Source organism: Homo sapiens, chromosome 14, assembly GCF_000001405.40.
Source record: "Homo sapiens chromosome 14, GRCh38.p14 Primary Assembly".
NCBI lineage: Eukaryota > Metazoa > Chordata > Mammalia > Primates > Hominidae > Homo > Homo sapiens.
The window spans coordinates 58527531-58555214 of record NC_000014.9 but is presented as its reverse complement, the minus strand read 5'-3'; the positions used below and the strand labels follow the sequence as shown (position 1 = coordinate 58555214).

The following is a 27684-nucleotide window of genomic DNA, read 5'->3' as shown; positions in this document are numbered from 1 at the left end:
GCAGGAGAATTGCTTGAGACTGGGAGGCGGAGGTTGAAGTGAGCCGAGATTGTGCCACTGCACTCCAGCCTGGGCGACAGAGCAAGACTGTCTCAAAAAAAAAAAAAAAAAAAAAGAAAGAAAGAAAAAGAAATCTACAGATGTTTCAGAAAGAAAACATTGCTAGACTTTGTGTTCCCAATACAGGGAATTCCTACTTCTATTCAGTGACTGTGGAACTCATTTCACCATAACAGTCCTATAGGATTCTGCAGAATTTCTCTCCTAACACAAAAACTACTCTCCATTCAGGAAAGGTAAAAAAAGAACAAATGGAGGTGCTGAAACAAAAGCTGTCCCAATCAGGGGCTGGCACACTACAGCCCATGGGCCAAATCTGGCCTGAAGTCTTTTCATACGGTCCATGAGCTAAAAAATTTTTCTTACATATTTTAAAAGTTTATAGAAAAAACAAAGATGGATATGGACTATGTGACAGAGACCACATGAGGCCTTCAAAGCCAAGAAGATTTACTATCTGGCCTTTTACTGAGAAAATGTGCTGACTCCAGGTCTAAAGTATCAAAAATCCCTAATCTGCCTTAGCCTAATGTTTTGCCACCAGTGTTAATGGCCACAAGACTACCTCCTCAGAGCTCATGCAGATTTTCTCTCTAGGACATCATTTATAGCATGCCCTATGTGGTTAGGAATAACTCTACCAAGAACTATTTTTTGTCACATGCAGATTTAGCTAAATACTGTCAGAAGCTCATTAGCATATGGTTTTGTGCAGAGTAGGTACAAGCCGCCTTTCCAAAGGAGGCATCACTCAAACCTTTATATGAATTCTAGTTCAGTGACCAGTTCCACTAGAAGAGAAATCAATGTTTTTTAAGTTGCAAAAGTGGCCACAAATTCTTCCCATTCCATATGCATGTTCCCTAGTATGCGACTATACAAATCTGCCCACCAAGAAATACAGTCTAATTATCTACTCTTTGAGTCTGGGCTTGGACATATGACTTAGTTTGGGCAACAAGGCATTAGCAATATGACACAAGCAGAGGCTTGAACGCTGCTTGCATACTGAAGCTCGCCCTCTCTTACTGCTCATAGGCACTCTCAGATCAACATCACATAAATGGACTTGGGCTAGCCTCTTGGATAATGAGAGACACATGACCCAGTTACCTCCATTTCCCTGCCAACAGCCAGCAACCACCAGATATGTGAGGCCATCAACTATCAATTGAGTGTAAATTCATGTGTGAGGGTCAGACAACATCATGTGGAGCAAAGCAAAGTTGTCCTAGTTGAGCCCAGCCCAAATTGCTCATCCCCAAAATCATGAGTAAATAAATGATTGTTTTAAGCTACTTAGTTTGGGGTGGTTTGTCCTACAGAAAATGCTAATTGACACAGACACAAAAATGCATTAGAACGTTATTGGAATGAGCCACTTCAGGTCCTCTTGACAACAGCTACAATTGACCCACAGTTACATGTGTCATAATGAAAATGAACTTTCAACTAAAACCAATGGACTTCTACTCCCATGAGTGACCGCAAGTTGAGGCTAACCAACAAGCCTCCAGAAGCTGGTTTCAAGGCACAAACAGCTTACCTGAGATCTTCAGGTCAAGCAGACAGCTTTGTAAGTGCAAATTCCACCCAAGACAATGAAAAAAAAAAAAAACCCAGATATTTTTGTTATGCCCAATCAAATGAACTGACTCCCGTGTAAAATTGCTGTGTAACTAAAAGCTATTGCTTTCCTTTTCTATGACTCTACTTTTCATTTTTTTCTCCTTCCTTTTTTGAAGCAAAATACGTTTCCACTACCTTGTTTTTAAGAATGAGAGACCATAGCTTCATCTGCTAACCTGCCTCTTTCTGGACCTGTTATCCATTTCTAGCTCCAGGCAACACTCAAATCATAGGAATACCTCTGCTTAATGCTAGCAAACAAATCCACCAAGTTTAAGATCTGAACATCTTCTATATACTTTAGAGCATACCACAAATATCTCTAGACTCAGCTACTCAGGCTGTTGTTGTAATTACATAAAACTACACACAGTCGATATTTTATCTGGAGAGAAAAGTCAACCCAATCACATTTTAAATTACCTCGAGTGTCCGTGGTACTTTTATAACCCGTCCGACTATTGGGGAATGTGACCAAAGGAAATAAAATTACTTATCAAGCTTGACAAGCAATCCTATACAACTATCCTGATGATAGAAATACCTCTTATATTACAATTTACATATTTACTTATAATGTAGCACCTTGTAAAAAATAGAAAAATGTCCATGTTCAGGAAAAATAGGATACAAGATGCCAACTCAAATAGTTTATCTTCATAATTCTGGGAAAAAGACATACACTTTCAACTCTTTACATATATATTAATTATGGGGCCAGTGGGCCTGTTCTTTACCTGTGACCTCTATGTATACTGAGAACTACTCCTGGGGTGCATGTATTCCTGGTACATAGACTCCTTACCAGCTCCTTTGAAGATTTTAAGTCCTGTTCAGTCTCATCATTTGGGTCTCTTCAGAAGTCTCGTTAGTGAACTCCCAGGAGATGGTAGGAGCGTACTGAACTGCTTGAGGGTTTTAACTTTGGTTAGGGGTCCCTGAATTCCAGAGATGTATCAATAACTTATTCCTCACTATGGCTGAAATTATAAATGTCACCATTCATACTATAAAGACCCAGAAAAAGAGCTCTGATTTGCTTGCTGTCTTGGTAATTAGAGGACCATCAAATAGCTTTACAATATTTACAGGCCTCATAAGGGGGCATCTGTACTCTGGCTAATATTTCCTATTGTTTCCAGGTAAACACTTCAGGACAAGAAGAAAAAATTATTTTAAAAAGAATACAGACACAGGCTGATGATTCTCAAAGATTTGACAGTCTGACACTTAAAATCTACCCCTCATTCTCCTACCTAGGTCAAATAAAAACACTGCCTTCATGAAATTCCCTGAACAATAATGATCAGATTTCTCATTAGAAAATTGGCTTTTCTCTAGTGCATTTCTAATAGAGTCTTCAAAAACTACTGTGCAACTGATGTTTAATGATCAAATGAGGATTCCATATTAGGGGGAGACAGAATTTCTTATGGTTAATCTCTGTCCTCCAGGAGAGGCATATGACCAAAAGCAGGAATGACAAATCCTGAGGTGACTGCCCAGCCTCCCCCTGAGGATCCACGCCACACTGTACACCCCATGTCCTTCATACTTCATGTTTGTTAAACAGATGCACATATGGATATATGATAGAAAAGAATGCTTCAGTGAGTTTTCTCTTAGTAACATCGCAGAAATATTAAGGACTGTACTCTCCATTATTGTTCAAGTTACTCACATATAAGGAAATACCACAGCATCAGGACATCTTTTAAAAGATAAGTATATTTCAATTATATAATAATAATTTTTTTTTTTTGAGACAGTCTCACTCTGTCACCCAGGCCGGAGTGCAGTGGCGCAATCTCAGCTCACTGCAACCTCCGCCTCCTGGGTTCAAGCAATTCTCCTGTCTCAGTCAGCCTCCCAAGTAGCTGGGACTACAGGCACACGCCACCACATCTGGCTAATTTTTGTATTTTTGGTAGAGACGGGGTTTCACCATGTTGGCCAGACTGGTCTCGAACTCCTGACTTCAGATGACCCACCTGCCTCGGCCTCCCAAAGTGCTGGGATTACAGGTGTGAACCACTGCGCCCTGCCAGTTACAGAATTACTTTTTGATTGGGGGTGGTAATACACTATGAACTTAAAAATGCTACTTTACTTATTTTTAAAATGTTTTGAGTTAATAGAAAAACAATAAAAGATCTTAAGATATATGTTTAGCATTTTAAAGTTATCAAGGAACCAGAAATCTGTAAGCAATAAGAAACATATTGAAATAATCTTCTAAGAATAAAAATATTTATTCAAGATTCTATTAAAGTATACAAAGAACGAATTTAGGATTTAAAACAGAGGAACATTTTATTTATTTATTTATTTATTTTTGAGACAGAGTCTTACTCTGTTGCCCAGGCTGGAGTTAAGTGGTGCAGTCTCAGCTCGTTGCCACCTCTGCCTCCTGGGTTGAAGCAATTCTCCTGCCTCAGCCTCCCAAGTAGCTGGGATTACAGGCACACGCCACCATGCCTGGCTAATTTTTGTATTTTTAGTAGAGATGGGGTTTCACCATGTTGGCCAGACTGGTCTTGAACTCCTAACCTTGGGTGATCTGCCTGCCTCAGCCTCCCAAAGTGCTGGGATTACAGGTGTGAGCCACCCGCACCCAGCAGAAAGGAACATTTTAAACACGTTACCTAGTGTTAAGGCATGATAGCTCAGCAATTTTTTTTTTTTTTTTTTTGAGACACGGTCTCATTCTGTCACCCAGGCTGGAGTGCAGTGGCACAACCACGGCTCACTGCAGTCTTGACATCCTGGGCTCAAGCGATCCTCTCACCTCACCCTCTTGAGTAGCTGGGGCTACAGGTGTGTGCAACCATGACCAGCTAATTTTTTGTATTTTTGGTAGAGATGGGTTTTGCCATGTTGCCCAGGCTGGTCTCAAACTCCTGAGCTCAAGTGATCCACCCTCGGCCTCCCAAAGTCTTGGGATTACAGGCATGAGCCACCGTGTCCAGTCACAGCCCAGCAATAGTAACAGCCTTGATCTTGATAGTCTCTTAATAGCATGTCTCATAAATAGTTTATTCCGGAAGTTGGAAATTGTAAAATTTAATATAAAATAAAAATTTTAAAGCTTATAAAATCAAAAGTTCCATTTAGTTTGTTTTTACGTACATCGTCTTATTCCAAAAGAATCTGAAGTGGTTGGCAGAGGAATGTGTACAGGAGTAACCATGAACAGAAATAATCCTATAAAACAAAATACTAGATGAATGCCGGGCGCGGTGGCTCACGCCTGTAATCCCAGCACTTTGGGAGGCTGAGGCAGGCAGATCACCTGAGGTCGGGAGTTCAGGACTAGCCTGACCAACACGGAGAAACCCCATCTCTACTAAAAATACAAAATTTGCCGGGCATGGTGGCGCACGCCTGTAATCCCAGCTACTAAGGAGGCTAAGGCAGGAGAATCGCTTGAAACCAGGAGGCAGAGGTTGCGGTGAGCCAAGATTGTGCCATTGCACTCCAGCCTGGGCAACGAGCAAAATTCCATCTCAAAAAAAAAAAAAAGAAACCGTCGAATGGACACTAATTTTTTTTAAAAGAAAAGCTCACGTGCACAGGGAGTAGAATAAATCAAAGATTACACTTCTACCCTAAAGTTAGAAAAGGCAGGCTTTCTATGGTTAGGAGGAAAAATCTACCAACACCTTTAAATAAAAAATGCTTTAACTAAAACAAGATTTTGCTGAAATCCTTCCAAGGCAGAAAAAACTATGAAAACCAGAAACCAAGGTTGGGGGGTGGGGTGTCATGTTTAAAATGAAGCAGCACTAAGCAACATTTCTCCAGCTTTCACCTTGCCCAGAGTCTTGTAGATGAATATCAAAAACAAATTAAAATCCACAGAGCAGAATTTTTCTTCCACTTGTTTAAAGGAAACTGTTATAAGCAGAACTGTCCAAAGGGCCATATCAAAGAAAACGGGTTCTAAAGTGAAACCTAAAACATTCCAGTAACCAAATACCTGAGAGAAGCTGTGAGGAAGTGCATGTGGAAGGCTGACACATTTCTGAGTTTCCATAGACTCTTGCAGCTTCTATGTTCAGTGAGAAAAAAAATCCCCAGGCAATGGCTCCTACTAGAAGTTTAAGGAATTCTAAATTGCTCTTCAGTAATTCTCAGCCTTGAGTGCCCATTAAAATTACCTGAAAAGGTCTTTTTTTTTTTTTAATACCAATGCTGGACCCCATCCAAGATCAATTAAATTGAAATCCCTTGGTACAAGGCCCAGGCATTAGTATTTTTTAAAGCTCCCAGAGGTTCTAATGTGCTGCCAGTGCTGAGATCCACTTAGCAACCTACAAAAATGCTGAAAAAGTCAAGGATGACTGTAATTACTGTGTGTTTGAAATTCAGTTGTGACAGAAAATGATTTTTCTGGGAGGTAAATTTTTTTCACTAGTGCTAGGCTGCCTTTCTTTTCATGTGCTTATGCCCTCTACTATACAGTACTGAAATCCCTCAAGATAATAAGAACAACACCATTTATTGAGCACTTACATGGTATCAAGCACTGTGCTGGGCACTACCCACCCCCATCTCCACACACAATCACTGATGTCCATTATTCTGCAAAAATAAGTATTAAACCCATTAATCTGAAACAGCTGATAAGAAGGCGTTTCGTTGGCCCCTATCACAAAGCAAGAAGTTACAGAATTGGGATTAGAACCTACATGTATCTGATTACGAAGCAATGCTTTTTATTTTCCTTTAATTTTATGTATTTATGTTGCAAAAGGTAATAGAGTTACATGTTTCACAGGTTTATAAAGGTTTATATGGTATACATAAGGCATATAAAAATTAATCTCACTGATGATTTTTTTCTATCACAACTGAAGTTCAAATACATAGTAACCACGATTATCCTTGATTCCTATCACTTAGCCTCTCCTATCACCCAGCCAACAATTCTACTCCCTGGAGACAAACTTAGCAGTTTCTTGTTTATATAATATATTTACAAGCAAATACATGTAAGAATATGTGACATACCATACATTTGAATTCCTCCCCACCCCATTTTAAATAATTTCAACAACTGCATAGTTCACACACTATTTTGCACATGGCTTTTTTCACTTTAACAGTGCATCTCAAAGATTATTCCATATCAATAAACTTTTTAAATTTTTTTTTGTAATACATAGTATTCCATTGTACTGATGTACCATCACTTTAAAACCAGTCTATTATTGATAGACATTTGATTTTTTCTATTTGCTGTTATAAAAATGTTAGAATGAATAACCTTGAGCTACATAATTTTATAAATACATACAGATAATTACACCTATAGATTAAATGCCTAGATGTCAAAAGCCATGCCCTTTCACTACTCTATGCTATCTCAGGATTCTAAGAAACAACTCACAATCAGACTTATAATGACTTATACTTATTTTATTTAAAAACTTTAAATACCCAAATTATGCTTTTTGTTTTATTTTAAAATATTGGAATTTTTTTTTCAGAATATGCTCAAAAACCAAACAGTCTGAGAGAGGGTTTTAAGCCAAGGTAAAATGACTTTAAAACCAGTGGCATAAACACTGTGCTGGCTGTCTCTTCCCGTTCAGAAGGTATCTGCCCCCGAAGACTCCATGTCCTCCTGCATTGTGCTGAGACTCAGAGACTGAGAGCAGTCCTCGAGGTTCACTGACGGCAGCATCACTGACATCTTGGCAGGGGGCATCTGTGAAGCGGAGAGTGGCACTGCTTTCCCACCTGCACAAAGGAGAAGCTCATTCAGCTCAACATGCGTAACCTGAGTATTTACGTGCTTTATGCTTTGCGAAATAATATGAGGTTGGGGTGGGGGGGCGCGGATTCCAAATAAGGATTGCCTACAAGGGACTCTCTTGTCCCAAGGTGCTCAGAACTTGTCAGAGAGGTAAAATACACCTTCCTCCTTTCCACCCTCACTCCTAATCAGTCAGAGACAACATCAGTATACAAGCTAAAAGTTGTGATACAGATGATAAATGCTAAGTAAGATCAAATGTAACGGGTTAAGGGCCTAGTCTCTGAAATCCAGACTTAACTTCTTGCTGGCTGTGTGACTGTCACCAAGTTATTTTACCACTCAAAAGTTCAGTTTCCCATATGTTAAATGGGATAATAGTACCTACTTTGCACAGTATAGTGAGGATAAAATAGTGTCAGTGAAGAGCTCAACAACAGAGCTTAGCACTCAGTAAGTGGTCAAAAACTAAGCGCTCCCATTACCATTAAAAGATAGCCATTATTACTACTGTTACCATTAAGTAAATAGCTAGGAGAGCAATAAAACACTATAATAGCCAGAAATTAAAGGTTTGTGGTTAGAGCAAGAACTTTTTTTTTTTTTTTTAAAAGAGGTAAGATATCAGCCATGTAAAAGGCATTTGAAGTCAAAGGTTGCCAAGGCACTTTGCTCTTCCTCCTATTCCTAAAAAATGGACTCTTAAACTCAAGAGCATGTCATTAATAATGATTTACTGAGTGCCTAAGGGTGCTATGCTATTAGCCAACAGAAGTGATATAAGGTTAGCAATGTCAGAGGAAAAACATACTGCAGTGGTCATCCAAGTATTACTGACACTTGACTTTGGAAAGCATTTTTCTCTGTAAAATAGACTTTTCTCTCTACTGTAAAGTAGACATTATCTCTACATTTAATGAAATATGAAAAAAAATTCCCACTTCATGGATTGAGAGCAATATTATAATGTCTAATATGAAAGCTGGCTGGTGGCAGAGGGCAGGCAGTTTGGGATAAATAATTCATTAATATGTAAAAAATTCAAAGTTGACTACGTAAGTGTATGTATCTGCCTATACCCAAATTCACCCCTGTAAGTTTAAAGCACAATGCCTAAGAATATAAAGACTGTCAACTTGGTATTATTTAAAACAAACAAACAAAAATCCTCATTTAAAATTTCATGGATTTACCATAGACATAAGAATAATAAATACGTTAAAAATAAATTACCTTAAACAATCTTAAAGACATATTTCAGACAAGAGTCACAGTAATTTTTCTAAAATCCCTTTATGTTTTTCAAGTAGTTTCTACAGTAATAACATAGAATTTTTCATTAAATTTTTATAGGGGCCACAGTATAATTAGACAGTTCTGGAGATTTTAATGATGTCTCAATCATAGCTGTCCAAGCTCAGAATACTTGTAAAAGGAAAATTCCTTTCATATAAGGAAATTTAATAAAGACTATTTTAAATACTGTATCACTCCTTTTTGTTACTATTTCATTTTTTTATAAAAAGAGAGAGGAAGATAAGATTTGGTATCATTACAGCAATATCACAAACTATAATATAATACCATAGTATTTAAAAAGAAAACAAGTTTTATGTGAATTTAAATAGAATATTTCAAATAGGAAAAGATTTTAGTCTTTTCAGTTTGTCAGGATGTAATAAAAATGCAATGAATAGACACTAAAGACTGTATTTTTTAAATCTTTTTTTTGAGACAGGGTCTTGCTCTGTCACCTAGGCTGGAGTGCAGTGGCATGATCATGGCTCACTGCAGCCTCAACCTCACAGGCTCAAGCGATCCTTCCACCTCAGCCTCCCAAGTAGTTAGGACCACAGGTATGTACCACCATGCCTGGCTAATTTTTAAAAATTTTTTGTAGAGGGAGGGTCTCCCTATGATGCCGGGGCTGGTCTCAAACTCCTTTGTCTCAAACTCCTTGGTCTCAAGTGATCCTCCTTCTTCAGCCTCCCAAAGTGCTGACATTACAGATGTGAGCCACCATGCCTGGCCTTAAAAATGTGTATAGGACACAAGCATTAATAATATATAATATTTAAACATTCTTATATTTTACAAAGCCATGATGCAGAATACACAAAATAACTGAGGGAAGCAGCCAATATCAGAGCTCACCTCATGAATAAAGTAAAAACTAACACTGGATATAACTAAGTCCTAGGGCAAATTAATTTTCCACTCATACAAACAACTTAATGTTACCTTCTAATCCATTCCTTGAGTTATGCATCTGCCAAAAACAACAGTGATACCAAATACTCTTCTTTTCTCTGTTATTTAATTTCACAAAACCACTTTGTATATACCTTCGTTTTCTACTTTGTGCATAAAATTACAGATTAAATTGCTCAATGTTGTAATAAGAGCTATAACTTTTTAGGGTGGAGGGATCTCCTAGAAGTTTCCAAGTCTCAAGGAACATACTGAATTCAATCACTGTAAGCATTTCTTGCAGTTATTGCCTTATATTTGTATAACAATTCAAATTTTGTAAATACGTTTTCATCATATTATCTGATCCTAACAGTAATTCTCAGAAACAGACAAGGCAACTGAGGCCCAGAGACATTAAAGTGGGCTTCTCCAAAAGCATATATGCACTAACTAAACATCTATATGAATCTTCTGCATGTATGGAGCTAAGAGCATATGCAGATGAAGAAGACAGAGTCCTCATCCTCAAGAAGTTCATCACCTAGTAGAGGAGATAAACATGTATAGGAATACTTAAATGAAGTGGAAGGTAGCCATTGAGTTGGGACTGAAAAGATGGTGGGAAGGCAATGAAGGAAAACAGAATAACAAAATAAAGTCAAGATAAAGTTAATGTGTTAAGGGAACTCTGAGTATTCTGATATCAAATATTGTTTGGATAGGAGAAATGGTGAGATAAGCAAGGCCAGGGCCAAGTCCTGTGAAAGCAGTAAGGAGTCACAAAAAATTTTGACCACAGGAATAATTTGAGCAAATCTACGGTCTAATATCCAGCATCTATAAGGAACTTAAAACAAATGTATTAGAGAAAAACAACCCCAAAGGACATGAACACTTTTCAAAAGAACACATACATGAGGCCAGCAAGTATATGAATAAAAGCTCAATATCACTGCTCATTAGAGAAATGCAAATCAAAATCACAATGAGATACCATCTCACACCAGTCAGAATGGCTATTATTAAAAGGCCAAAAAATAACAGATGCTGGTGAGGTTGCAGAGAAAAGGGAACACTTATTCACTTGGTAGGAGGGTAAATTAGTTCAATCATTATGGAAAGTAATATAATGATTCCTCAAAGAAGCTAAAAGCAGAACTACCATTCGACCCAGCAATTCCATTACTGGGTTTATACCCAGAGGAATATAAATCAGTCTACCATAAAGACACATATATGCAAATGTTCACTGCGGCACAATTCACAACAGGAAGGGTATGGAATCAACCTAAATGCCCATGGATGACAAATTGGATAAAGAAACTGTGGTACATGTATACCAAGGAATACCATGCAGCCATAAAAAAGAACAAGATCATGTCTTTTGCAGGAACATGGATGAAACTGGAAGCTATCATCCTTTGCAAACTAATGCAGGAACAGAAAACCAAATACTGCATGTTCTCACTTATAAGTGGGAACTAAATGATGATAACTCATGAACACAAAGAAGGAAACAACAAACACTGGGATCTACTTGAGACTGGAGGGTGAGAGGAAGAAGAGGAGCAGAAAAAATAACTATTGGGTACTAGGCTTAATACCTGGGTGATGAAATAATCTGTATGACAAACCTCCACAGCCCGAGTTTACCTATACAGGAAACCTTCTTCACATGTACCCCCAAACCTAAAATAAAAGTTAAAAAAAAAAGAGGTAAAAATCATCCTAATAGCTGTGTGGAAAATAGAGAGACGGGAGACGGATCTATAAAAATAGTCCATAGAAGAACTAATGATCCTTGGCAGTGGAAATAGGGTCAAGATATTTTGGATGGAGACTTAGTACTTATAAAGAACCAAGTTTCACTCTGAAATGACAGATTTGGTTGACTGACTAGGCAGTAATAAGAACACCAACAAACTTGGGAGCGGTGATGAAATTTTAAGCACAAGTCTCTTCATGACAGATCAAGAGTAGGGTCCAAATCAGGTCACTTAGGAATGGCCCCACCCAGACTGCTGATGTGAGGCTTCTGTATGGGAAGGAGTAAAAGGCAGAGGGGATAAGAGAATGGATTCTGGAACAGGGCAGAGCTGAGCTCATCCATCCATCCAACAGATATCAACTGTGCACCTACTATGTGCCTGGCACTGTTCTAGACTCTGGAGAATACAGCAGTGAAGAAAACAAAGGGTCTAACCTCACTGGCCACACATTCTGTTGGGTTTAGGGGATGAATGACAAGTAAGGAAATAAACATCTAATATAACAGGAAGTGCTAAGTACTATAAAGAAAAATAGGTAAAAGGTAAGAGGGATAGAAAATAATAAGAGACTGAAAAAGTTACGTAACTTCTCTGAACCCCAGTTTTCTCAACTATAAAAAAAATATGAGTACCAACTTCAGAGGTGTTTCTTTTCTTTTTTTTTTTTTTTTGAGACGTAATCTCGTTTTGTCACCCAGGCTGGAGTGCAGTGGCGCAATCTTGGCTCACTGCAAGCTCCATCTCCTGAGTTCACGCCATTCTCCTGCCTCAGCCTCCCAAGTAGCTGCGAGGGACTAAAGGCGCCCGCCACCACGCCCGGCTAATTTTTGTATTTTTAGTAGAGACGGGGTTTCACCATGGTCTCAATCTCCTGATCTCGTGATCCACCTGCCTCGGCCTCCCAAAGTGCTGGGATTACAGGTGTGAGCCACCACGCCCGGCTGACTTCAGAGGTTTTTATGAGGATTCAGCCAGATAATACATACAAAGTGTTTTATATAGTGCTGGAACATAGAAAGCACACAAACATATCAGCTCTTACTTTTATGTAATTGGAAAGCCACTATCTAAGAGGCAATGAGGCTCAGGGTGGGCTGCAAAAGGTACTCTGCTTTAGAAGGAGGAATAAGAATGTTTCACTGAAATACAATTAAGAAAAAAAGAGGGAGTGGGGAAAGAGAGAGTACACTCTGGAAGGCCTCTAAATAGTTATGCTAGTTTAAACTCTAGTTAACTGTGTTTTAATCAAGAAGTTATAGCAATAAAATGTACCATCTTATCAAAAGGTATTTGTTAATGTATATTTTGGGAATTTTTTTTTTTTTTGAGACGGAGTATCGCTCTGTCACCCAGGCTGGAGTGCAATGGCATGATCTTGGCTCACTGCAACCTCCACCTCCCGGGATCAAGCGATTCTCCTGCCTCAGCCTCCTGAGTAGCTTGGATTACTGGCGTGTGCCACCGCACCCAGCTAATTATTGTATTTTTAGTAGAGACGGGGTTTCACCATGTTGGTCAGGCTGATGTCAAACTCCTGACCCCGTGATCTGCCCACCTCGGCCTCTCAAAGTGCTGGGATTACAGGCGTGAGCCACTGCGCCCGGCTGAAAACTTTTTATTTAAAGTATTCATTTACACAAGCTAAATCACAGTTTTAGAACTTTGTAAGAGAACTCTTTAGACTGGGAACATTAAAAAAAGCATCACTTAGATTACTGTGAACAGGCGAAAAGGGTAACATTCATAAAAAAATTAATTTTTTTAAAGAAAAGACATAACATTTTAATAAATCACCATGAAAGCAAATATAAATCTTCTACCTCTATTAAATATAGTTTGATGCTTTTAAAGTTTGACTTTTTAAATTTGCACAGTCAAGTCATTACTCTATGATGTAATTGTTTCAACAGCTGTTTTCAGGTCTATAAAAAAGACTATTCCTTGATTCCATGGGTTTGCAGTGTGTCATTTAACCTGGCATGCATTTAAGTGGGGCATGCCATGGAGTCAGACCATGCGTTAGAAGCTTCCTGAGACATAATTTAATACACGTTTTTGACATTTGAAATTCCAATTTTTTGCTTTAAAAATATTTAAAATTCATAAAGAAATTTTATGTTTTCTGTTTTTGGATGTCAGATTTATAAAACTAAGTAAAAGAAAAACTATAATTTATTCTGAGTAATAAGTTATGTAACGAATGGTAGGATTCAATTCTCTGAATTGTTTTTCCAGTGATAGTGGTGAAATATTAGTTCCTCTCCTGTTAATTGTGGCTGTCTTATTCTGATTGCAGCACTTACCAGACTGCACTGTAATTATTTATGTATCTGTCATTTCTTCCAGACAATGCATTCCTTAAGGGCATGGACAGTCTTTGGAATTGACAGTCTTTGTGTTCTGAGTGACTAGGATAGCAGGTACACAGTAAGTATCTGTGACCTTATCACCTTGTATTATTGTTACTAACTTGTAAGTCTGTTGTTTCCATTAAAGATGTGCTCCACTAGGACAGTGACTGTGTCTTATTTACCTCTGCATTCTACAAAGCCTCAGCATGATGCTGGGCAAACAGTGGACCTTGAAATGACTGCTGAACCAAATTGATTTGTTCCTACCTAGAGAGTCTGTGGTTTCTCTTTGCTAACAGCTTGCTTAGATTCACACTGACCAGATCTTGTCTTTAAAATCAGCCCTGAGTTCCAGCAATGCAGTTGCTTCCCAGCTGTCTGTGAAAATGTTACAGTATTTCAGCTGTGTTTTATTGAGTTCTTGAAGCATTTTTCCTGTACACCCTGGACTCATCCACTCTTGCTCCAATTCCTGTGTAAGCAGCTGCTAAACTATCCTGCTGTATTCAATTCTCCTCACATACTTAACCCAGTCCTACAGATTTGCAACATCATAGCCCCAGTGTTTGAGAATAAATGAAAGACTTGATGAAGAAGGTGCCTCATCATTTGATGTTAAGTATAGTATGCAATATTTTATTTACTTTTGCTTTCCAGAATTAGTCACTATTAAACATTTCTTTCCTTACTCATGTTTTAGAAAGGGTAACTTAAAATGTTACAATGATCTTATCCCAAAATATCTTTTAGGCATATGAATCCTATTACTTTTTTTATTTTTCAAATGAGTTGACAAATGCTTATTTTAAAATTTATAATTTAAGGTAAAAACAAAGCAGTTCTTATAGGAAGAATAAATGTTCCGACACCTGTAAAAACAACTCCAATTTTTTCCTCTAAAAAGCAATCGTTAATGTGAAAGATCTGTTTCTTTTTATGCCAGGTTCCAGCTGCTTCACTTTGTTTAAAATGACTTCAAAGTTTAAACACTGTCCTGTCCCAACAAATAACCTCCCCCAGATGGAATTATCTCGAGTCTTATCCTTAGTGCTCTGAATACCACACCTGCAGCCTTTTAATTCATCATTTTATAAACTTTCCAAAGCGAAACGATAGGTTTTCTTTCCTGTCCCCTAACTTACGCCTTTTGGAGAGCTGAGTTTGTAACCTGGGGTGAATTTACAGATATTACAGAAGAATTAAAAATTGCTATTAGTATTTCTACTGTGTTGATTATTATGAGAGAAAGAATCATCAGGAAATGAAAAAATCTGAACAGCTCCAAGTTCAAGAACTTTTAAAGTAAAAATCTTACCTGAAAATACACATGTGAGGTACGGATTAAGCTCAATTTGTGTCCGATCCATATCACCTGGTGAAACTACATAAAAATTTATTTTTTCAGAAGAAAATCAGTTAAGCATAGAAATAATCATGATTCATTCCTATTCACTAAAAGAACACAAACCAAATGCACTCCCACCGTTATTCTCATAAAACCAGGTAAACAGAAGTTTGATCTAGTGGCCTGAATGTAAAGAAGGAAGTTAAACAGCTGAATTTTAATGACTATCAATAGGAAATACTTTAACGGATTATTATCTTTATGCATCACAGATGGGGGGGGGAAGCAAAGGGTCATGAGAAAATCTGAAATTTGTATCAAATAAAGGAAATTAATGGGCCATTTCTTCAAAGGTGAAAAGTTTTCACAGATTCTCTTACCTAAGAATTTAATAATTACAAAAAGAGGTTTAGAATCTCCCTTCTTCCTAGGCCAGCCTGGAGCATATTACTCAATACAATCCGTAGGAAACAACCCATAAAGCTGGCAGGGAGCACAGAAGAGCAATACACTATTATAGCAAAGCAAATTTTTAGTATTGAGATAAAATAGGCTGAGGAAAAAATCTTTTTTATGGCCAGAGAATCGGAAAGTTAACTGAGAGAAACCTATAGCACATATAGGTCTCAGGCCAACAAGACACTCTGGATACTAAGGGCATGGCTCCGTTATGATGCTGTTAATCTGTGCTGTGAAGTACAGTCAATTAACAACCTTCTATAACTTATTTCAAACAAATTCTTGGGGTAGGGTGATATGAAAAAAATTAGAACGTTGTATAATCAGTATTTCTTTTCTAATTTTCTTTAAGATAAAAATCAGTTATCTCTTAAGCTTCATTTATTTCACAAAAATTTCAGGTAGTACATGTACACAATGGAGTGTTATCCAGCCATAAAAAAGGATGAGATCCTGTCTTATGCAATGATATGGATAGAACTGGAGGTCATTAAGTGAAATAAACCAGACACAGAAAGACAAACTTTGAAGGTTCTCATTTATTTGTGGGAACTAAAAAATAAAAACAGTCTGGGTGAGGTGGTTCATGCCTGTAATCCAAGCACTTCGGGAGTTTGAGACAGGTGGATCACTTGAGCTTAGGAGTTCAAGACCAGCCTGGGCAAAATGGCTAGACCTAGTCTCTACAAAAAATACAAAAAGTAGCCAGGTGTGGTGGCTCGCGCCCGTAGACCCAGCTACTTGGGAGGCTCAGGTGGGAGGATGGCTTGAGTCCAGGAGGCAGAGGTTGCAGTGAGCCAAGATGGTGCCACTGCCTACCAGCCTGGACGACAGAGCCAGGCTGGAAAAGAAAAGAAAAAACAATTGAACTCATGGAGATAGGCAGTAGAAGGATGGTTACCACAGGCTGGGAATGGTAGTGAGAGCGGAAGGGAAGTGGGAATGGTTAATGGGTTAAAAAAAAAAAAAAAATAGAAAGAATGAATTAGGCCCAGTAATTTGCTAGCACAACAGGGTGACTATAGTAAAAAATAATTTAATTGCACATTTTAAAATAACTGAGTATAATTGGATTGTTTGTAACACAAAGGAGATGCATACTCCATTTACCCTGATGTGATTATTACACACTGCATGCCTGTATCAAAATATCTCATGTAACCCGTAAATACATATACCTACTGTGTACTCACAAAAATTAAAAATTAAAAAAAATTTATACTAAAAATTAAAAAAATTTTTGGGTGGATTTTTATAAGAAGATATTTAAATGAGCAAGTTTATAAGCATTCCATATTTCATTATGCTGGGCAATACATTCTCACTGGAGATAAACATTCATGTTAAACTATTATTGTTATACTGTAGAAAATTTAATGTTTTATAAGGACAAGAGTGTGGACAAATACAAGTTACATATATTTGATATCCACAAATAGACCAAAATTGAACATACAACTGTGATATAGGTTTTGTTTGTTTGTTTTTTAAAGAAATGGGGTCTCATTCTGTCACCCAGGCTGGAGTGCAGTGGTACAATCATAGCTCACTGCAGCCTCGACCTTCTGGGCTCAAGGGATCCTGCCATCCTGCCACCTCAGCCTTCCTAGTAGCTAGAACTACAGGTGTCTGTCACCATGCCCAGCTCAACTGTGATACAATTTTAAAAAATCTTTAAATGTATTAAAAGTGCTTACTATGGGCCAGGCGCGGTGGCTCACGCCTGTAATCCCAGCACTTTGGGAGGCCAAGGTGGGAAGATCAGGAGGTCAGGAGATCGAGACCATCCTGGCTAACACGGTGAAACCCCATCTCTACTAAAAATACAAAAAATTAGCCGGGCGTGGTGGCAGGCACCTGTAGTCCCAGCTACTCGGGAGGCTGAGGCAGGAGAATGGCGTGAACCTGGGAGGCTGATCTTGCAGTGAGCCAAGATCACGCCACTGCACTCCAGCGTGGGTGACAGAGCGAGTCTCCGTCTCAAAAAAAAAAGAAAAGTGCTTACTATGATGTTAATGTTTAAATGTTATCTGTGTTCACTTCTCACTTTGTTTCTAAACTTCCAAGAGTTAGAGAGGGACAGAAATTATTACTGCTTGGTCCCTCCAGTTTAATAGAGCTCCCTTTCAAATTCTACAGAGAACACAGAGTATAAACATGAAAACAAAGGTATCAATACCACCTCAGAGATCCCTTCCATTGAAGAACCACTTGTTTATAGCAAGTAATGAGAATATTAACTCCCTAATTGAGTTGATCAAGGATCTTAGCAGAGTATGCCACCTAAAGGAAGGGTACATAAATGGTTACTATGACATATGGTTGTTGCTGTTATTGTAAACATAAAACTCTCCTCAGTCAAAACTGGGGGAGGATCTTGACTTCTGCAGTGATACGTCTTAACAGTTAAAAAAAATAAGCCACTATCACAGTATCAGAGTTGACCACTTTTATTCTTATAACAAGTAAGTGGCTTCATAATTCTCACTTGTTGATTTACGAGGTTTACTGGAAGGGTGAGTATTGTGCTCTGCAGTTGATGATTAAAACAGCAAACACGGCCTACAACTAGGTCAACACAACTTGAAAACTGCTTCTCAAGTTTGTCAGTTCTTACAATTCTTTATCCTGCTGATCAAAACTGAAAAAAAAACATAATACTGGTATTGAAGTCAAAAGATGAGAAGGAAAATTTTGGAATTATTTGATCTATAAAGTTCTATTAACATTTCTATGGAAATTTTGAATGAGCAATGCTGACTAGAAATTGAGTTATATATTAACTATAAATATAATTTATATTTTTATCTTTACCACAAAAAGCTGACTTGTTAGCTTTTACTTAAATGTTTGAAGATACTACAAAATAAAGAACAAGTGAACTTAGATTTGGAAATAGAATTCCAGCCTGGAAAAGCAGGGATACTGGCTGAAAAAGCTTTAATTGAAGGCACACAGGGAGTACTGGGATTGCACTACTTGTACACACTGTGCCTTTTCCAAATACCCCCCTTATTTCAATATTTTAGCTTTTCATTTCAAATAGTCGTTCAAAATATTGTTGCTATCTCTGGTGCCAAGTGAAAGTAAACCATGTTATAGTTAGTGTACATCCTTTTCAAAAATTGGTATTTTTCAAGGAATACTACACAGCCATAAAAAAGAATGAAATCATGTCCTTTCCAGCAACATAGATGGAGCTCATAGGCCACTAACCTAAGTGAACTAACTCAGAAGCAGGAAATTCATTACCACATATTCTCACTTATAAGTGGGAGCTAAACAATGGGTACACATGGACATACGGATAGAAATAATACACGATGAAAACTCCAAAAGCCAGCGAAGGGGGGGCAGGGTTGAAAAATAACCTATCAAGTACAATGTTAACTATTTGGGTAATGGGTACATTAGAAGCCCAATCCCCACAATTAAGCAATATACCAATATATCCATGCAATAAACCAATATATCCATGCAATAAACATGCACATGTACCCCCAAATCTAAAATAAAATGACATTTATAAAAATTGGTATTTTTAAAAAATTGAAATTTGGGCTTTATAACAGTTATACTCATATTTAAAAAAAAATTATTTTGGGCTTCAAAGCTTACTTTCTGACTCTTCAATGCTATTTTCAGTAAGAGTCACTGGTATAGTAATACTTACATTTGTAAATCTTTATAGTATTATTTTAAACAAATTCTTTATGGATTATCTAAGAAAACAGCATAAAACTATAAGGCTGTTAACTGCAAAATAAGGATATAAAGATGAAGCCCCCCAAAATGTGAATTTTTTAACCCACAAAACAACATAAATTTTTAAAGGGACGATGTACAGAATTTAAAACAAAACTCAATAAGGAGACATCTAAAATTAGTAACAGTCAGGATAGCTACATTTTTATACTAATTTGAGTTCACTAAAAAAAAAAAAAAAAATCCAATAAATTATTAGGGTACTTAAAAATATATAAAAAGAAGTTAGTACTTGTTAAATAACCTGGCCAGATCCTCCAAATTAAGTTACTCATTGGCTCTAGTAGGTATACCAACTCTCTTAAATAATAGCATTTTCAGAAATAGGATCCTGGCGGCATAAAAGTATATATCCCACTGCCAAGAAGTTGATAGTTAATTCAGAAAATAGATGACCCACCTATCCTGAATGCAAATCACAATTAACTTGAGTAATGTACATTCAATTATTAAAGCTTATTAAAAAGCATTTAAGTACTTGACTGTATTCCTGTTGGTGTTATGACAGAGAGAGTGCCTGCCTTTTAGGGGCAAGAATGTCTAGAGGGACATTCCAGCATTAAAATTTGGTTGAGAACTGAGAGACTCTATGTTTTAATAGACAACTTTATCTACAACTCACTTCCTGTTAGTTGAACAGCCTGTGAAACAGCTACTAAAACAAATTCCTCTCAGATCATTCTTTATAAAAGCATGCCATAATAGTTTAAAAACTAAAAGAATCTTAAAAACTACAATAGGTTTGCCTGGTGAAAGAAGCCATACATACCGTATGATTTCATTTATGTGAAGTGCAAACAAGGAAACTAATCTAGGTTGTTGGAAGTCAGAGTAGTGGCTTTATGCTTGTGGGAGTAGAGACTGTGGCTGAAAGGGAGCATGAGGGCCTTTGGGGGTCTGGCAGTGTTCAATTTCTTGAGCTGGATACTGCTTCCACAAGTGTACTGTATTTGTGAAAATTCTTTGAGCTGTACACTTACAATATGTGTACTTTTCTGAATGTATATTATTCTTCCATAAAAAAGTTAAAATGGAAGAAACCAATAGGGCAGTTTCAGCAATTAAAAGATGATACCTTTGTAGTTTTAAACTTTTTTCCAATGATAAAATTAAGCCAAATTACTGGCATTACTAGGTAACCTTTAATATCAAATAAATAGTTACACTAAGTCATAGGCCGTACTGCTGACTACAAAGATGAATTCCTTTCTATTTTTTTTTCCTAAAACCTTGAAATACCAGTGCACTGAAATTATTCAGAAGCAGAAGGTGAGATTTTGTTGTTGCTGTAGTTTAACTCTCACAGGGCTTACTATCTAGGATACTTCGTGCTCTACGACAATCAGCCACTTGATTTAATTGAAAGCACAAACTATAATCCAGTTTTAACTAATCTTCAGCATTTAAAAAATCTTAATACATTGTAAATTCACATTTAATTCCTTTCTTTGGTAGGAAAGAAGTTTGCTGTTTCAGTTTATGTCTATTAAGCAATAATATCATAACTACACTTAAACTCAACCATATCTTTGTCAATAATAACACCCATAATTCTAATACACCTATATTATACCAGGCCACAGACTGTTAGAGAAGGTCACTATTATAACATTCTTATAAATGACATTTGATAATTACCAAAGCTGATGGCAAAGTAACTCCCTAATATTTACTAAGCAGTTTGAAGCTAAGTGCCTCTGTATCTATACACAGAAAATCTATTTTCTGAGATGGAAACCCTTCCTAAATATGAAGACTTCTCTCAAATTATGGCTTGTGGTTATCACTAAAAATATACTGTATTATCTGTGTAGCCTTGACAGTGGGTTTTGACATCTCTAGCCATTCCTAACTAAATATGGAAACAAAAATTAAATGTGACATAGTGACCAGTTCACTTCCCTAAGGCCAGACCTGGTAACTTTTGAAAGAGTGAAAGAATGAAAAATGAGCTTTCAAATACAGGAAGCCACTAGAAAATAAAAACACCACCATTCCACATCCTAAAATAAGAGCTTTAAAGATTTTCTGTTGAATAGCAAGTTTCGGGGCAAGGGGGAGAGAGGGAGAGGGTGGGTTTCTGCTCACTGTACACACGACACCAGTGGGAATAAGGGCCAGTCCAAGTTCTACGTTACCATTACTCTGGGTAATAGTTCCAAGCTGTAAGGCACAGCTGTATAGGCCCTGCCAGCAAGGCCATCGCAGCAGTGCTTTGATAGCGTGGGGCCCTGAAGTGTCAGGATATAGAGAAGGCAGCAGTTGTTGGCTGTGAAAACAGTCTGATACAAACCAGATGGGAACTTACTAGATGGGCAACACAAATGAAAACAATTGGCTCATTCAACAAAGTCAGGCCCCTGCCCCAGAGAATTCACAGAAGACAATAACAGTCACCCAGAGTTGATGCAAACAAGAAACAGCCATGTGGTTACAGTTTAAAGAACTGTTTTTCCTTAGACTAAACAAAGTTTTGATTTCTAATTCTTGTACTCATTAATTGAAGTTTGGTGTACAGGTCTTTTTGCCAAAGATAAATATTTCATTTCTTTTGTGACACCAATAGAAACTAATTTTATGCTGCTTCCTCTAAAGTGCTATGAACATAAGCTAAGCTATTTCAGGAAACTGGCAAATTTAGAAAATGATTGATCATGCTGACACAGTAATTAGAAAATATCCAACATATGATTTCCAGGACTTCCTAAGTCCTACTTTGTGTAATGTAGGTAGAATGACACAAAAGGCAATAATCGCAAGGCTCTCAGAACTATATTTCTACATAAATTGTTTTTTCTGACTCCATTAGGTGGTACAGTATTACTGCAATTATATTCCCAAGAAAAAAGTGCTCCTGTTTTCCATAGCCTCTGTGAGGCTTATCACAAAAAAAGGTTCCTGACCATTCTGAGCTGACAAGTGTAACAAAGACTAACAATTAGATTTTAAGATACATTTTAGCAATAACATTTTACTGAAAGACTTTTGTGGGTATATATTCCATAACGAGTAATTTGTTTTACCATTTTAACAGAGAGCAAATAGCATTCGAGCTTAAAATAATTCACAAGTAATTGCATTTCTTCTTACTTAGAAACCCAAGAGTAATTTTGACCTCTGTATTTATTCCAATTAAAAAATATACCCAAGAAAGTCTTAAATTTGGAATCACCATTTTTAGGTCAAGGATAAGGAGCCCATCAGGGACACTGAAAATAATGAGGTGTATTACACAGCATTTGTCATGCACATATTTAAAAATATTTTGTAATTATATAAAAGAGTGATCCTGTTTTATTTTGCTCTTATAATAATAATAATAGATTTCTTAAAAGATATCTTTTCTGAAAATGATGGAATTGATTTCATTTCATTTTCATCTGTGGAACTGTAAAAATTACTATGGTATATGAGATATAAGACTTGGGTTTCCCAGTCTGCACATGCAGGATTGCCCAGATTATACCCATTGGCTACTCCCATCCTAAAAGCTGAGGCTGAACACAAATACCCTTTCCTGTTCCATTAAATCTTTCATCCTATGCAAGGTAATTCTGAAGTAAGCCAGAGAAACAGAAGTGAAGTAACAATTTGGTATGTAGTTTGATGCCATCTTATCAGCCATAGGTATTTACCTCCTCTTGTCTGCTGCATACACATACATGTTCAGGCATACTTTTTTTTTCCTTTTTTTTTTCAATTACACATTAAGTTCTGGGATACATATGCAGAACGTGCAGGTTTGTTACATAGGTACACACATGCCATGGTGGTTTGCTGCACCCATCAACCCATCATCTACATTAGGTATTTCTCCTAACGCTATCCCTCCCCTATCCCCCACCCCCCGACAGGCCCCGGTGTGTGATATTCCCTTCCCTGTGGCCAAGTGTTCTCATTGTTCAACTCCCACTTATGAGTGAGAACATGAGGTGTTTGATTTCCTATTCCTGTGTTAGTTTGCTGAGAATGATGGTTTCCAGCTTCATCCATGTCCCTGCAAAGGACATGAACTAGTCATAATACACATGGCTGCATATTATTCCATGGTGTGTATGTACCACATTTTCTTTATCCAGTCAATCATTGATGGGCATTTGGGGTGGTTCCAAGTCTTTGCTATTGTGAATAGTGCTGCAATAAATATACGTGTGCATGTGTCTTTATAGCAGAATGATTTATAATCCTTTGGGTATATACCCAGTAAAGGGATTGCTGGGTCAAATGGTATTTCTGGTTCTAGATCCTTGAGGAATCACCACAATGTCTTCTACAATGGTTGATTTATATTCCCACCAACAGTGTAAAAGCATTCCTATATCTCTACATCCTCTTCAGCATCTGTTGTTTCCTGACTTTCTAATGATCGCCATTCTAACTGGCATGAGATGGTATCTCATTGTGGTTTTGATTTGTATTTCTCTAATGAGCAGTGATGATGAGCCTTTTTTCAGATCTTTGTTGGCCACATAAATGTCTTCGTTTGAGAAGTGTCTGTTGATATCCTTTGCCCAATTTTTTTTTATTTTTTATTTATTTTATTTTTTTTTTTTTTTGAGACGGAGTCTCGGTCTGTCCCCCAGGCTGGAGTGCAGTGGTGCAATCTCGGCTCACTGCAAGCTCTGCCTTCTGGGTTCAGGCCATTCTCCTGCCTCAGCCTCCAAAGTAGCTGGGACTACAGGTGCCCACCACCATGCCCGGCTAATTTTTTTTTTTTTTTGTACATTTTAGTAGAGACGGGGTTTCACTGTGTTAGCCAGGACGCTCTCCATCTCCTGACCTCGTGATCCACCTGCCTTGGCCTCCCAAAGCCCAAAGTGCTGGGATTACAGGCGTGAGCCACTGCACCCGGCCCCTTTGCCCGCTTTTTGATGGGGTTGTTTTTTTCTTGTAAATTTGTTTAAGTTCCTCACAGATTCTAGATATTAGCCCTTTGTCAGATGGATAGATTGCAAAAATTTTCTCCCATTCTGTAGGTTGCCTGTTCATCTGATGATAGTTTCTTTTGCTGTGCAGAAGCTCTTTAGTTTAATTAGATCCCATTTGTCTATTTTGACTTTTGTTGCCATTGCTTTTGGTGTTTTAGTCATGAGGTCTTTGCCCATGCCTATGTCCTGAATGGTACTGCCTAGGTTTTCTTCTAGGGTTTTTATGGTTTTAGGTCTTATGTTTAAGTCTTTAATCCATCTTGAATTAATTTTTGTATAAGGTGTAAGGAAGAGGTCCAGTTTCAGTTTTCTGCATATGGCTAGCCAGTTTTCCCACCACCATTTATTAAATAGGGAATCCTTTCCCCATTGCTTGTTTCTGTCAGGTCTGTCAAAGATCAGATGGCTGTAGATGTGTGGTGTTATTTATTAGGCCTCTGTTTTGTTCCATTGGTCTATATATCTGTTTTGGTACCAGTACCATGCTGTTTTGGTTACTGTAGCCTTGTAATATAGTTTGAAGTCAGGTAGCGTGATGCCTCCAGCTTTGTTCTTTTTGCTTAGGACTGTCTTGGCTATATGGGCTCTTTTTAGGTTCCATATGAAATTTAAAGTAGTTTTTTCTAATTCTGTGAAGAAAGTCATTGGTAGCTTGATGGGGATAGCACTGAATCTATAAATTACTTTGGGCAGTATGGTCTTTTTCACAATATTGATTCTTCCTATCCATAAGCATGGAATGTTTTGCCATTTGTTTGTGTCCTTATTTCCTTGAGCAGTGGTTTGTAGTTCTCCTTGAAAAAGTCCTTCAAACCTCTTGTAAGTTGTATTCCTAAGTATCTTATTCTCTTTATAGCAGTTGTGAATGGGAGTTCACTCACGATTTGGCTATTATTGGCATATAGGAATGCTTGTGATTTTTGCACATTGATTTTGTACCCTGAGACTTTGCTGAAGTTGCTTATCAGCTTAAGGAGATTTTGGGCTGAGATGATGGAGTTTTCTAAATATACAATCTTGTCATCTGCAAACAGAGACAATTTGACTTCCTCCCTTCCTATTTGAATATGCTTTATTTCTCTCTCTTGCCTGATTGCCCTGGCCAGAACTTCCAGTAGTGTGTTGAATCGGAGTGGTGAGAGAGGGCATCCTTGTCTTGTGCTGGTTTACAAAGGGAATGCTTCCAGCTTTTGCCCATACAGTATGATATTGGCTGTGGGTTTGTCATAAATAGCCCTTACTATTTTGAGATATGTTTCATCAATAGATAGTTTATTGAGAGTTTCTAGCATGAAGGGGCGTTGAATTTTACTGAAGGCCTTTTCTGCATCTTTTGAGATAATCACATGGTTTTTGTTATTGGTTCTGTTTATGTGATGGATCATGTTTACTGATTTGCATATGTTGAACCAGCCTTGCACCCCAGGGATGAAGCTGACTTGATTGAGGTAGATAAGCTTTTTCATGTGCTGCTGGATTCGGTTTGCCAGTATTTTATTGAGGATTTTTACACTGATGATCATCACGGATACTGGCCTGAAATTTTCTTTTTTTTGTTGTGTCTCTGCCAGGTTTTCGTATCAGGATGATGCTGGCTTCATAAAATGAGTAAGGGAGCAGTCTCTCTTTTTCTATTCTTTGGAATAGTTTCAGAAGGAATAGCAGCAGCTCCTCTTTGTACCTCTGGTAGAATTCGCCTGTGAATTTGTCTGGTCCTGGGCTTTTTTTGGTTGGTAGGCTATTAATTACTGCCTCAATTTCAGAACTTGTTATTGATCTATTCAGGGATTCGACCTCTTCCTGGTTTAGTCTTGGGAGGGTGTATGTGTCCAGGAATTTATCCATTTCTTCTAGATTTTGTAGTTAATTTGTGTAGAGGTGTTTATAGTATTCTCTGATGGTGGTTTGTATTTTTGTGAAATCAGTGGTGATGTCCCCTTTATCATTTTTTATTATGTCTATTAGATTCTTCTCTCTTTTCTTCTTTATTAGTCTAGCTAGTGGTCTATCCATTTTGTTGATCTTTTCAGAAAACCAGCTCCTGCATTCATTGATTTTTTTAAGGGTTTTGTGTGTCTCTATCTCCTTCAGTTCTGCTCTGATCTTAGTTATTTCTTGTCTTCCGCTAGCTTTTGAATTTGTTTGCTCTTGCTTCTCTAGTTCTTTTAATTGAGATGTTAGGGTGCCAATTTTAGATCTTTCCTGCTTTCTCCTGCGGGCATTTAGTGTTAGAAATTTCCCTCTACACACTGCTTTAAATGTGTCCCAGAAATTCTGGTACGTTGTGTCTTTGTTCTCATTGGTTTCAAAGCACTTATTTATGTCTGTCTTAATTTCATTATTTACCGAGTAGTCACTCAGGAGCAGGTTGTTCAGTTTCCATGTAGTTGTGCCGTTTTGAGTGAGTTTGTTAATCCTGAGTTCTAGTTTGATTGCACTGTGGTCTGAGAGACTGTTTATTATGATTTCTGTTCTTTTGCATTTGCTGAGGAGTGTTTTACTTCCAATTATATGGTCAATTTTAGAATAAGTGTGATGTGGTGCTAAGAAGAATGTATACTCTGTTGATTTGGGGTGGAGAGTTCTGTAGATGTCTATTAGGCCTGCTTGGTCCACAGCTGAGTTCAAGTCCTGATTATCCTTGTTAATTTTCTGTCTCATTGTTCTGTCTAATATTGACAGTGGGGAGTTAAAGTCTCCCACTATTATTGTGTGGGAGTCTAAGTCTCTTTGTAGGTCTCTAAGAACTTGTTTTATGAATCTGGACGCTCCTGTATTGGGTGCATATATATTTAGGATAGTTAGCTCTTCTTGTCGCATTGATCCCTTTACCATTACGTAATAACCTTCTTTGTCTTTTTTTATCTTTGTTGGTTTAGTCTGTTTTATCAGAGACTAGGATTGCATCCCATGCTTTTTTTGCTTTCCATTTGCATGGTAAACATTCCTCCATCCCTTTATTTTGAGCCTATCTGTGCCTTTGCATGTGAGATGGGTCTCCTGAATACAGCACACCGATGGGTCTTGACTCATTATCCTATTTGCTAGTCTATTTCTTTTAATTGGGGCATTTAACCCATGTACATTTAAGGTTAATATTGTTATGTGTGAATTTGATCCTGTCATTAGGATGCTAGCTGGTTATTTTGCCCATTAGTTGACGCAGTTTCTTCATAGTGTCAATGGTCTTTACAATTTGCTATGTTTTTGCAGTGGCTGGTGCAAGTTTTTCCTTGCCATGTCTAGTGCTTCCTTCAGGAGTTCTTGTAAGGCAAGCCTGGTGGTGACAAAATCTTTCAGCATTGGCTTGTCCCTAAAGGATTTTATTTCTCCTTCACTTATGAAGCTTAGTTTGGCTGTATATAAAATTCTGGGTTGAAAATTCTTTTATTTAAGACTGCTGAATATTGGCCCCCCATTCTCT

General features: G+C 37.6%; 1 protein-coding gene across 26 annotated transcripts in view, besides 1 other annotated feature; it reads right to left on the bottom strand.

Annotated features, from left to right (window-relative positions):
* The window catches only part of KIAA0586, a 134691-nt gene that overhangs the window by 6876 nt on the left and 100131 nt on the right, over nucleotides 1-27684 (bottom strand). For 9 of the 26 annotated variants that reach the window (NM_001244190.2, NM_001244192.2, NM_001244191.2 and 6 more), the window contains 2 exons: nucleotides 15079-15144; nucleotides 3918-7434 (listed from right to left, as the gene is read on the bottom strand). The exons of 1 other annotated variant lie outside the window; for it this stretch is intronic. In NM_001244190.2, coding sequence (NP_001231119.1) covers nucleotides 7283-7434; nucleotides 15079-15144 — 218 coding nt within the window. In that variant the 3' untranslated portion in view covers nucleotides 3918-7282. Of the gene's footprint in view, nucleotides 1-3917; nucleotides 7435-11247; nucleotides 11333-15078; nucleotides 15145-18001; nucleotides 18209-27684 lie in introns of those variants that run through there. 16 more of the 26 variants (NM_001244189.2, XM_024449779.2, XM_024449780.2 and 13 more) reach the window with 3 other exon arrangements.
* Nucleotides 20158-20358: a silencer, noted in NCBI's record as "peak2159 fragment used in MPRA reporter construct". NCBI's record gives its function as "represses an SCP1 promoter by STARR-seq MPRAs in K562 erythroleukemia cells {active_cell/tissue: K562}" and the evidence as "EXISTENCE:reporter gene assay evidence [ECO:0000049][PMID:32103011]".